Source organism: Homo sapiens, chromosome 13 (assembly GCF_000001405.40).
Source record: "Homo sapiens chromosome 13, GRCh38.p14 Primary Assembly".
In the NCBI taxonomy this organism is placed as follows: domain Eukaryota; kingdom Metazoa; phylum Chordata; class Mammalia; order Primates; family Hominidae; genus Homo; species Homo sapiens.
Window position 1 is genome coordinate 98,522,523 of NC_000013.11, and position 12,059 is coordinate 98,534,581.

Sequence of the window (12,059 nt, forward strand, 5' to 3'; positions counted from 1 at the left end):
TAGCTCAGGCCTTCCTTCTGAACAGGAACCCCCCAGACCAGCTGCTTCCCAAGCATTCTCTCTTTCTACCCAGACATCTCTAGCTCAACATGTGTGCACGGAATTTGCCACTTCCCCTGCTGGACTGTCCTCCCACAGTAGCCCTCTGCTCTGCGCTGTCTCCTTTGCTCAGCTGCAAGCTGAAGAGTCAGGGGCTGTGTCTCACGCACCTCTACACCCCTGTGCCCAGGTATGATAAGTGGCATGGGACTGTGGTCAGTAAACATCCCCTGAGCAATAAGAAAACCCCAGACTCACCCTGGCTCGAACAGGACCCAGGTCAGACACCTCAAAGCCTATCCTACACACAGACAGGGGGTCCTGGAGGGAAGGGGAAAGCCCTTCCTGCTGACAAGGGCGAGAGGGGTGCTAACAGCCTGCCTTCCTGAGGTCAGGAGAGCCGGTTAGCACTGTCATTCCCGGGAGCAGTGATTCTCAGACCTGGGTGAGCCTCACACTCCCCTGGAAGGCTTGTTAGGCCACAGAGCCCCATCCTACGAAGAATTTCTGATTCAGTCAACCGGGGGTGGGCCCAAGAATTGGAATCCCGGGGTGAGGGAGATGCTGCTGGTCCAGGGACCACACCTGGAGAACCACCACTCGGCACAGGCTGGGACAGGAGGCCAAGCAGCCCCAACATGCCACTAAAACACCATCATGTTAGGTCAACTCATCACCCCCTCCAGTAAACTGTCCCGCTCCCATACTAAGAGTGGCCTTTCCTTTCTGAGACTTAATTTTAAAAACAGGCGACAAGAATTTATCCAAACCCTTACCACATTGTTGAGGACCCTGTGGGAGACTGTTACAAAAATAACCACCCATAAATCCCACCTCTCTGGGTCCACACCCCTATGAATGTGACTTGGGCACTCCTCCCAGCAAGAGACAGTGGCTGCCGCCCTGGCCCTTGAACCTGGGCTAGTCTTGCTCTGTGTTCTGATGAACATAATCTAAGCAAGGCCCCAAGAGGACTTGCAGAGCTCCCTCCAGAGGGACGTGACCATGAGGCAGTGGAGAGCTGGCAATCGAAAATGGTGTGGTCAGAAAGACAATGACATCCGCCCACTTCCTCGACGCCAGCTGAGCTCCCAGGATGTGCCTCAAGTCATCCTGGGCCACCTGGCCTCAACCATGCCATTAGCTGACTGCAGAGAGCCCAGAAAAGGCCAGCAAAACTGCTCAATCCACAGAATCACGAGAAATCGTGAGCCTGCTGTTTTGGCCACTCGGTTTTGGTTGGCTTGCTACTCAACAATAGGCAACTAATACAGAAACTGATGCTAGAAGCTGGGCACTGCCCCAGCGGAGGCCCCGACGGCCCATGCTTGACTCTAGGTCAGAACTGCTGCAGCCCATCTGTTGTGAGATGCCTCCATCCCTGCCCTCTTTGAAGAGGAGTCTCTGTGGCCGCCCCACTCTTCCTGTCCCACAATTCTTGTTGAGCTGAGGCTCTCTGAATCAAGAGCTGGCAGCCCGTCCACACCCAGCCCCAAAGCAGGCAGGGCACGCAGACCCTTGAGTCAGACGCTGTGCCAGGAGGGAAGTGAGGAGATGCTGGATGGAAGAGCATCTCTTGCATGTGTGAGGGGCATGAACCCTGGGGACCGGAAGGCAACCCTGTGGATTGTTACAATAATGGCACTAATAACCCATCCCTTGTGTCTACACCCCCACCCCCCGAGACTTTGCCTGCTGCTCCCATAAGAGCAGCCCACACCTTGAACCACCTGGCCTGTGGTTCCTGTGCTGGTGTACCCTCTCCAAGGTCAAGCCTCAAGGGACCCCGCAGTGTTCGCTCTGCCTCCTGGAAGGCCTCCATCAGCAGCATGTGGAGAGGCCTGTTCTAGACACTGGAGAGGCCACGTGGAAGAGAGCACGGCACCGGATAAACATGCAGCCAACTGCTAGACCTGGGGCGAGACACGCAGCCTTCCTCGCTGCCTCTGCTGAACCCAGGCCCCAGACACTCTCCAGCTGGCCACAGCCACACGAATGCACCTCAGCCAGGCGGGTGGAAAAACCACCCATTCACCCCAAGGAATGGTGAGAAATGCTAAATCGTTATTGTTTTAGGTTGCTAAGTGATATAGCGGTTTCTTGGTTTCTTATACAACAACAGATAATAGAATTCAACAGAAACCACTGCGGGAGAAAAGTGTCTATGGGGTGTCAGGGGTAGACAGATGTTCCAGATTCTGGAATGTTTTAGTAACCTGCCTGTTTTCCTTTTGCCTGGACCAAGACGGCTTAGAAAACAGCAATTTTCACTCTTTTACTATTGTCCCAAAAGACGTTTCCAGGCGTACGGCACCTGTACAATAAAGGGTCACTGCATTGTCTCAATCTGCTCAAGCACGGCGACTTTCAGAACCCCTGGCCTCTGTGTCAGCAGCTGTAGGCCAGGCTAAAAATTACCCCTGGCAAGAAGGCAGCCATCTGCTGAGGCCGGGGCAATGGGGCACTCAATAAAGCAGGGTTCCCTGCGCGGGCAGCCCTGCCCTTTGGCAATTCTTGCACGGGTTCATTACCATACTGTGTCCCCCATGGCCAGAAGAAAAATCAATGCCAAAGAGGCCCTCTTTCAAATAAGAACCTTGAGATTCTGCTGCCAGAATTTGCTCACCGAGGAAAGTAGATTTCCTTGGCAAAAAAGGCACAATTCTGCCAGCCTTCTTGATAATTTCCTTTTTAGAAGGGTTTGGGCTGAACTAAGCACCGGCTATGGCCTCAGATTGGAAAGGCCTGGGGCCCCTCAACCCCACAGCCCGTGCCTGAAAGGAAGCAAAGCCTAAGCCAGGGCAAGGCAGGAGAATCAGGACGCCCAAGGGCTCCGCCTTTTCTGAAGCAGTGGGAGGTCAGGACACATGGACAACCCCCGCTCCCCAACATTCCCCTCCAAAGTCACCTCCCCTAGGGCAAGAAGACTAGGGGATGGGGGCGGGGATGGGAGCAGCCTGCACACAGCACCCCCTCCCCAGGCCCTGGACTCAGCACTCAAAAATATCAATTAGATGCCTTGTCCCTACAGTGGAGCCGGGCTCGCCACCCCGGTATAGGCAGGAGGATCGGCTTCTCTATGACCAAGGGAAGCACAAGGGAGTGACTTCCCCTTCCCGAGCTCACCGAGCCTCGAGCCCCACAAGCCGCCTCACACTGATGAGCCCTGGGGCTTGCTCCTCTGAGGAAAGGGTTCAGGGATAAAAAGACAATGATAAATAATAGTATCTATCTCTGCATTAAGGGCAACTGAGAGTGAGGATCCAGCACCTGTGGAGGTGTCTGACACATCCCATGCAGGGTCTGAATAGAAGGCACTCGAATACTGATTTCTCTACTCACAACTTTCCAATTCCCTAAAATCCCCCCAAGAATTTTAACAGCCCAACTTCCCCTTCTGGGGGACCTCGGGGTTAAGAGCCACCACGCCCGCCCGACCTGAAGGACAGGCTTTGGTTGGGTAAGTCAGGGTTGGTCAGCTGGAAAGCTGAGCGGGTGAGGGATGGTGGCTGGAGTGCGGTGGAGGGAGGAGCATTGGCAGTATGCTGGGGTGAAAGGGGCTTTCGAAACAGGTCCGTCTTTGCTTTTTCTGGTTTTTAAACAATTTTTGTCCTGTTTTCTCTCAGTCTTCTTTCTGTGAACAGATGCTTTGTCCTTTGTCAAGCTGTATGTATAATTTTTTTCGTGGATGCAAAATTGTTGTCTCAGTGTCCCAATATGACTCAGGCATTTTCCCCCTGCAGTGCACACAGCGTGTAGCCAGCCTAATAGGAGTGGATTTATTGAGGGTGTACTTGTTCCAGGCTCTGGGTCAGGAGCTTTACATGAACTGTCTCAGCACATTCTCATGACAAAGCTAAGAGGAAAGTACTTCTGTCTACCTCATTTTACAGATGAGCAAACTGAGCAGAAGAGATATTGAGTATCTTGCCCTTGGTCCCAGAGCTGGCAGAGGGCGGTGGAGGGGTTTGAACCTAGCCAGCAAGCTCCTGTCTCCTCACTGTACTAGGCTTGGGACCATGTCATTAGAAACAAAAAAGCAAATATTCCATTACATGGCTGCATTCAAGTTTATTTAACTGTCTTCTGCTGCTTAATTAGGTAGCCTTTACTTCTTTTTAAATTTTATTCTGTTTTTCAAGAAACTTGGGTTGTGCATTTCTGCTGTGGGGAGGAGTGAGTGAGTGACCGCTTGTCAGCTCCTGGCCAAGACTTGGGAAACGTGATTGGAAAGGACCACAAATGGCTTCCTGGAATTTGCTCATCAGCTTCATGGCCCATCCCAGTAGTGCGGGTGTAGAACACGTTATTCAGATATGCAGGACCACTGTCCACAGGCGCGTTTTCATGAGACGCTTGCCAGGTGGAAATCGGCCTGCTGATACCGACCCCATGTGAGGATAACACGCCCATATGGTCACTCTGTGTATGTGTCAGATTCCCTGAGAAGAGGCAGTGACATATATCGATACACACTCGGAAGTAGAAATTTGTTTTGTAATTCTCATCGGCATCCTTTTGGAGTTTATTTCCATTTTGTGTAGATGTGGGCCTATCACTCTTCACAGGGAATGGCCAGCCACTGAGAATAACTGAAAAATCAGAGGGCCCATGTATGTGTGCACACAGCAGAGCTGGGCGTGGTGGCTCACACCTGTAATCCCAGCACCTTGGGAGGCCCACAGATCACTTGAGATAAGGAGTTTGGGACCAGCCTAGGCAACAAAGTGAGACCTCAGCTATACCAAAAAAAAGTCTGCCCTTCTCCCTCCACTTCATCTAAAAAGCCCAGAGATGGAGATGACATCTGATTCCAGTGGCCAAGACCCCACCCCAATTAGAGCGGTGGGAACATGTGGCCTGCAAAGGGGCAAGGTGCCGGGAATCATGCTCCGCGGGCCACCAGTGAGGACGAAAGTTAAGACCTCAAAGGCCAGATCAGAGTCAAGAGCATCCGAGGGAGCCCTGACACAGAGGCTGTGCCCACACCTGGGCAACTCTCCCACGGGCCACCGGCACCCCCTTCCCCACTCTTCTCTGAACCCACCTCCATGTGCCCCTGTGCCTTGAACGACTGGGGAGGGCACACAGGCCCCGCAGGCAAACCTGAGCGGGGAGGCTCCTGGATGCAGAGGACACGGGACCAGGACCGGGTGAGCCACAAGGGAGGTGGGGGGCCCAGCACTGCCTCACCAGCACCACCCAGCCACAGACGCAGAGCCAGCGGCCACGGGAGACCAGAGGGGTTCAGAGGCACACCGTCGAAAATCCCAAAACAAGGGGAGGGACAGTCATCACCTGCTTTATTGGAACAAATGTCCCCTGCTGTGACTGCAGCCCCAGTTCATGCTGGCGTCTTGCAGCCCCGCCAGCTCCTGTACCTCTCTGGGCCTGACTCAACGGCAGAAAGCAAAAGGAGAGCTCTGGGGGCGATGGTCTCCTCAGCCACAGCTCCCTAGGCTAATAATCAGGCCTCCGCAAAGCTGGAGAGAGCCGTCTCCATCAGGCTGACCCCTGGGTTCCCACTGGGCCACCGGACTCTCATTCATGAGGATATGCAGGTTGGCCCAGGGCGGGAGGTCCAGGACAGACCCGGGCCCATCAGTCTCGGGCTCCCTTCACAGACTACACAGAACGGCCATGACCTGGGGGTTTGCCTGGCCAATGTCATGACCACACCTACCTTGCAAGGCGAAAACCTAAATGAATGAGAAAGACAGATGGAGGTATCTTCTGATTTACAGACTGATTCTGCGCTCAATGAGAACGCCAGAAGGTGGGTGTTTTCCTGCTCCCTCTCATCTCACAAAACATGGTCCCCTCAGCCCAGTCTAGGTGGGGGGCAAAACCAGCAACTCCAGCCAGGCCTCCAGGGTTCCGGCTCCTTTGAGGAGAAAACCCAAGTGCGAAGTATCCTATTACCCACCCAAGAGTTACAAAGACAATTCCGAAGCTCTGCCCTTCTGCAGCTCAGAAGCAGGGCCATTCCACAATACAACACAACACTTTATTATATTCCATAATCCCTTGAAAGAATTCTTTAAAATTGTTCTATGATGACTGAAGTATTTTATATTTTTAAACCTGAATAGCTGTCATCATCTTCTTTTGATCATTTCTGGCAATGAAAAATGCATGTGGCATTACCAATCAACTTTCAGTGTTACTCAGCTCCAAATGTACCACTTGCACAGTCAAACCACACTCAACTACTCTGGTTGAAACCAAGCTTCTCTACGCTTTTCCATGAAAACAAAAAGAAACTGAGGGTGACGTGCTCTAATACCCGGTACTTCTCACACCACTATCCCTACTGGAGCGGGCGGGAGGATGCTGGAAGGAAGCTGAGCCTGGAGCAGGGAAGGGGAGTTGGCTGCAGGCACGGACTCTCACCACTCTGGCCTTGGCAAGCATCTCTAATGAATCACAAACACTCTCCTAGAGCTGAACCGAGCCTCAGAATCTACTCACCCCAGCCAGTCACCACCGATTTGGCCAACTGGGCACGCAGGTGGAAACCTACCTGTTGGCCTGTCTGGCGCTACCACCCACAGACCCATGCTGGTGGCTACCATTCCAGCTCACCCTTCCATACCCGCCGTCTCCCTCTCCCCAGGCCCCCCACCACGTGTTTCATCGTTAACAGTGTTGCTACCTACCATTTCTAAAGCTGGAAACCTCTGCACCCCCATTCCTCTCTCACCCCAACATGCAAACCGCGTCATGGTTCTTCCGAAGCGTCTCTCCATCCAGCCCCTTCCAGGTCACTGCCTGGCCCTCCCTCCCCCACAGCAGCAGCCTCCAACTGATCCACTTCAAGACCTGCCTGTGACCTGCTGTCAGAGTTGATCTTCCTAAAAGCTCACGGTTTCCTTCACTGCTTAAAACAACTGGGGACGACCCACTGCCCTTCACACTGAGGTCACACTCAGCTTGTGAATCTAAACCCCAAAGCTCCTTTCTAATCCCCTCACTTACCCTCTTGTCATCCAACTTCTTAATACTGTCTACAAGCGCCAAAGGTCATATACAGTATGAGTCCCTTTATAGAAAATTCTCAAGGTGACAAAATTTGACTGGTGGAGAATAGATCCTTGGTTGCTGAGGCTGGGGTGAGGAAAAGACAAACAAACCACCAAACAGGGGGGTCCAGAGGCCCCTGTAGGTCCAGGGATGGGTGTGGTTGGGGTCCTAACACGAGGCTTCCAGAACGAGCATTCAGCCATCAAATGCAATGACTCTACCCAACTTAAAAGGCTCCTAGGTCTAAGAAATGATGCTGGGAACTACAGAGGCAAGATCATGGCTACCAGAATTTGCAGAAATCCACGGACCTTTAAAATTGCCTTATAAAGGTAACCATTAAACCTCTTAAAATAGAAAGGGTCTACCTGCAGGGCCCAGGAAAGAAGGCTCTACTCCACTGGCACTGCTGGAGAAGGAAGCCGATGTTAGACAAAAGGCCAATTGCAGGAAAAATGACGGCAAAGAAAGAAGGCAAAAGGCACTGGCCCTGTATGTGGGTGCAAACACACACAGATATACACACACACACGCACACACACACACAGAGCTGTCAAGAGGACCAGACATGACAGTTTCTGTCTGTGGCCCCCAGACAGAAACACACACAAATACTTCCAGAAAGTTTGTGTAAAGAGAACTCCTAACAATTTCTGAGGAGAAACTTAATTGAATCTAAGAGAATGTCTTGTAAAACACCTGGAATACTTAAGGCAGCTCCGTTTTTACCCCCATAAAGGAACTAGATTGCCAGAGCTCCTGGCCTTCTCAGTGTCACAGATTAGGTGACAGCTGCAGTCAGAGGTAATGACACTCTTCTCTTGGATATGGTCTTGGATGTGGTCTGGGCAGAATGACACCATAAGCAAAGCTACTGTCATGCCCGGGTGCCCTCTACGGAGGAGGCACGAGCTCCATTTTCTGACGATTATGTGACTTGTCTTCAGGCACAGAGCCTGAACAGGAACCTATGGCCATCCGACTCCAAACACTGAGCAGGTCCATCACTGTCTCCGGAGCTCTGACAGCAACATACAACACAAGGGCACAAAAGAAGAACCCAAAGCCCTGGAATGAAAAGCTGTGGTGCGCTGCTGCAAGACCTCCAGCAAGTTCTTAGCTTCTCAGTCAAATGGACAATGAGCTCACAGGTCTGTTCCGGGATCAAACCTGCCGGCAACGTGGTGAACTGCCACCACCTTCACCAGAGTTGGCATAGAATCTTCAGCAAGCACACTGAAGAACATGGGAAGCCATCTTTAAAACAGCACTCAATTTTGGAGACATTTTTGGAAATCACTAACTCGCTGGCCATAACTCTTAACTGAGAATATACGAGGTACAACACAATGCGACAGGGTCTCCAAAGAGTAAAAATGAGAGTAGATTTTTAGTATGGCTGAACTTTAGGCCAATCTCCTATTTTTTAATACAGATTATTCTTCCCCTAAGTAAGAAATCCTAAAGCTGACTGCAAACAAATAAAATACCCTGGAAAGCCATGTCATCTAATTAAACTGGCCATTAAATGTGAAGAGGCATTCTGTGCTGGAAGGAATAGTGAACAATTTGTCTAAAGCAAGCCTATTCATCCATAAAGGTCTTCTTTCATTCTAATAAGTTTAAAGCTCACTCTTTATCAGTCTTTCCAATACGCCCTCCCAAAATCTGAAAATCAAGCTGTCCTTTTTATAAAATATCTACACATGCAGGGATATGTACAGAAAAGGCCAATGGAAAGTTTATAAACCAAATGAAAAAGACCAAATAAAAACCAAGTGCTCTTTTGTGGGCAGTTTTCCCGCCAGAAGTTGTCATCAAAAACCTGTCATGGTCGAAACCCAATCTGGGACTGCATATCCCTGGCCTCCTCCATTGCCCTGGGAAGCGCCCAGGGCATTTCCACTATCAGGACAGCATCACACCTTAGGGACTCCCCCAGTCAGATCCTGGGGCTCCACACACCAGCCAACCCTAGACACCTTTTGATATGAACAGAACCGGAGAAACATCAAGCTCCTGATTTTGACTTAATAAGAAGTTTAAGGTCAGGACTAGCCTTCATACCAGTGCTGACTCAGGACATCAGGGCTCCTCTTGAAGCCAAGGAACAAATTTGAATCCCTGTTCTCCCCCTCACTCGACCTTCACCCTTTGAAGGTGCAGATGGTATTAATGGGTTTTTGGCTAGACATCACTAACTACCCAACGATGCCTATCGTCCCCACAATGGCCTCTGCTCTGTTAGAGGTGAGCTGGAACTGCATAGACGCAGGACAGTGCATCAGGAGAAAGACGCTCGTGGGAACTATTTGCTCTGTGATCCTGAGGTCAGCACCCTCCCAGGGCCGACCCTCCCTGCTGCATGTGGCTAGGGATTCTCAACCTGGGCTGCATGTGGGTAGCTCCCTAAACAGCTCGATGTCCCAGCTTCAGCCTGGACCGATTAAACCAGAATCTTTGGGGAAGGGCCCCACCCCCCATCAGCTTAGTTAAGCTAACCAGAAACTCTCACACGCGGCCAAGGTTGAGGACCACCGGTCTAGTCTAGGAGATTGCCCCAGGCTCTGCAGAAGTCACAATGCCAGTAGTGATGCCTGGAAAACTCTTTTTATCCTGGGTCACACTCACCTTTCTACACCTGGGAAAAAATCACATCAGTGCAGGGGAGGAGGCACCTCCCGGCACCTCACCTTTTTCATCTTTTACCTCTCCCACCTCTCTTCTCCATGAGAGAAGGAGAGGGCAACCCCTCCCCACCACCTTGCCAGATGACTTCAGTGACTAGTAATTGATGGTGCATGCCCATCCCACATCCACCAAAGACCCATCCCACACCCACCACACACCCATCCCACACACATCCCATCCCACACCCACCACACACCCATCCCACACACACACATCCCATACCCACCACACACCCATCCCACACACACATCCCATACCCATTCTAACCTCTCTGGAGGTGAGCCCCAAAGGGTGCTTCGTGTACGGTGAACTAGTTGGTTAATCTAAGGTCTCCAAAATAAAAATCAGTATTTATCAAATACCTATCTTTAGCAAATGGCTCCAAGAAGCTCAAAGAATTGACAGATTTTTCTAGTCCTCAAATATTCTTTCGAAGAAAAGTGTTATTTCTAGCCTACTGATAACAAATCATTTTTATACAGTAACATGCTTTTCTACACATTACAATAAATCTACTAATTACTACAATGTAAGTTCTTCCTAGTCTGTGTCCATGAACAGATAATTTACTTCTGTAAGTGGCACTACTCAGTTTATCTACCTGAGCTGTATTAATGCGTTACAAATGCCCCCACCATCTGGTTTAGTAAACTCATTTCTCCCATAGTATACACTTTATTTTATCCCTACAATAATCACATCATCTAGAGGACAAGCTGAATAAATATCCTACAGTATTTGACAAAACAGAAAATTGGCACAAAGAGAAATTAAATTCTATGAATTGCAAAGTCTAGGTCTACACAATCAATTAGTTTTCAGGCCGGGTGTGGTGGCTCACGCCTATAATCCCAGCACTTTGGGAGGCTGAGGTGGGTGGATCACTTGAGGCCAGGAGTTCAAGACTAACCTAGCCAACATGGTGAAACCCCATCTCTACAAAAAATATAAAAATTAGCCAGGCTACCAGCTACTCAGGAGACTAAAGCATGAGAATCACTTGAACCTGGGAGGTGGAGGTTGCAGTGAGCTGAAATTGCACCACTGCACTCCAGCCTGGGTGACAGAGCGAGACTATCTCAGTTTTCCTAAATTCCTTAATATTTCCTAAATCTCCTAAAGATTAAGGAATACTTAATATTTTAATTAAGGAAAACCCTAGTGCTAGCATCTACTATCTATAAAAAAATACTTAAGATAGAAATGCTCTAGCTAAGTTAAAAATATAGCAGGGCTTCGTGACTCAAGCCTGTAATCCCAGCTACTTGGAAGGCTGAGGTGGGAGAATCACTTGAGCCCAGGAGTTTGAGGCTGCAATGAGTTATGATTGAGCCACTGCACTCCAGCCTGGGTGACAAAATGAGAACCCCCATCTCTAAAAATAAAAAAGAAAAATATAAATTCGATTTTTGAAAAGTATTAAAAATGAGAAAAACACTACTATACCACCTAGATCAGTTTATCGCCTGTGGCCTCAGTACCCAACACACACACACACACGCACACGCACCACACCACCACCTGCTCTGTTACCTTAGGAAACCACTGTTTGAAGCTCCGCAAGGTCACAGTGCAGGGGAAGGTGACCCTAGAGAGAATAATGCTCAGACACCATGGGGTCCAGTCTGGACACAGCATAGTGTGTGCCAAGGTGAGGCTCTCCACCCAACTCTCCTGGAGTCACACTCCTTCTCAGCACAAGTTAAACAAAGGCTCTGAGGCTCTCCTAGTCTGCCGACGCCTACCCACCACCTGGTGCTAGCGGGCACCCCGCTTGGTCATCTCATCCACATCCTCCTCCAACCGCATGAGGCTTCATAGCAGAGGCAGCCGAGGAGGCAAGGCCCATGGTCACAAAGCTCCAGCACCCCCGGAGTCCCCACCAGGGAACCTCAGCCCTGCCCCAGGATCTCTCAGTGGTTGTGTGGGGTACTTTTCTTCAACAGAAGGCTCCCTGGCTCAAAGACGAGGCCTGCGGTTTGAGATGACAATGAAACTGCCTCTGCAAAAATTCTAACAGTGAGAAAATGATGACAGTGAAAGAGATCTGACCTAACCGACTCCATCTTGCTTCTACCCTCCAAGCTGTCCTTTTCATTCCTGGGCATGGGCTGAACTAACTTCGGGAGGAACTTAGTTTATAGTTTAACTTTGAAACAAAAATGGTAATAGCCCTTTCCCAAAACAAACCCCCTTCTTGCCTGGGGACTATACTACCTTTGTAAGGCTAACAAATTAGCTACAAGATTAGAAATTATGGTTTAGGGGTCACGCAGGCCGGAGGCTACAAGATTCTGAACCTCCCA

At 50.2% G+C, this 12,059-nt stretch overlaps 1 protein-coding gene across 2 annotated transcripts in view, besides 4 other annotated features; it reads right to left on the reverse strand.

The window, feature by feature from the left end:
- STK24 (serine/threonine kinase 24) overlaps positions 1–12,059 on the reverse strand; it is a 131,923-nt gene that overhangs the window by 77,338 nt on the left and 42,526 nt on the right. The window lies entirely within an intron of this gene.
- Positions 1,837–1,916: an enhancer, noted in NCBI's record as "active region_7914". NCBI's record gives its function as "activates an Ori minimal core promoter by ATAC-STARR-seq in GM12878 lymphoblastoid cells {active_cell/tissue: GM12878}" and the evidence as "EXISTENCE:reporter gene assay evidence [ECO:0000049][PMID:35858748]".
- Positions 2,307–2,356: an enhancer, noted in NCBI's record as "active region_7915". NCBI's record gives its function as "activates an Ori minimal core promoter by ATAC-STARR-seq in GM12878 lymphoblastoid cells {active_cell/tissue: GM12878}" and the evidence as "EXISTENCE:reporter gene assay evidence [ECO:0000049][PMID:35858748]".
- Positions 3,504–3,823: an enhancer, noted in NCBI's record as "active region_7916". NCBI's record gives its function as "activates an Ori minimal core promoter by ATAC-STARR-seq in GM12878 lymphoblastoid cells {active_cell/tissue: GM12878}" and the evidence as "EXISTENCE:reporter gene assay evidence [ECO:0000049][PMID:35858748]".
- Positions 6,364–6,533: an enhancer, noted in NCBI's record as "active region_7917". NCBI's record gives its function as "activates an Ori minimal core promoter by ATAC-STARR-seq in GM12878 lymphoblastoid cells {active_cell/tissue: GM12878}" and the evidence as "EXISTENCE:reporter gene assay evidence [ECO:0000049][PMID:35858748]".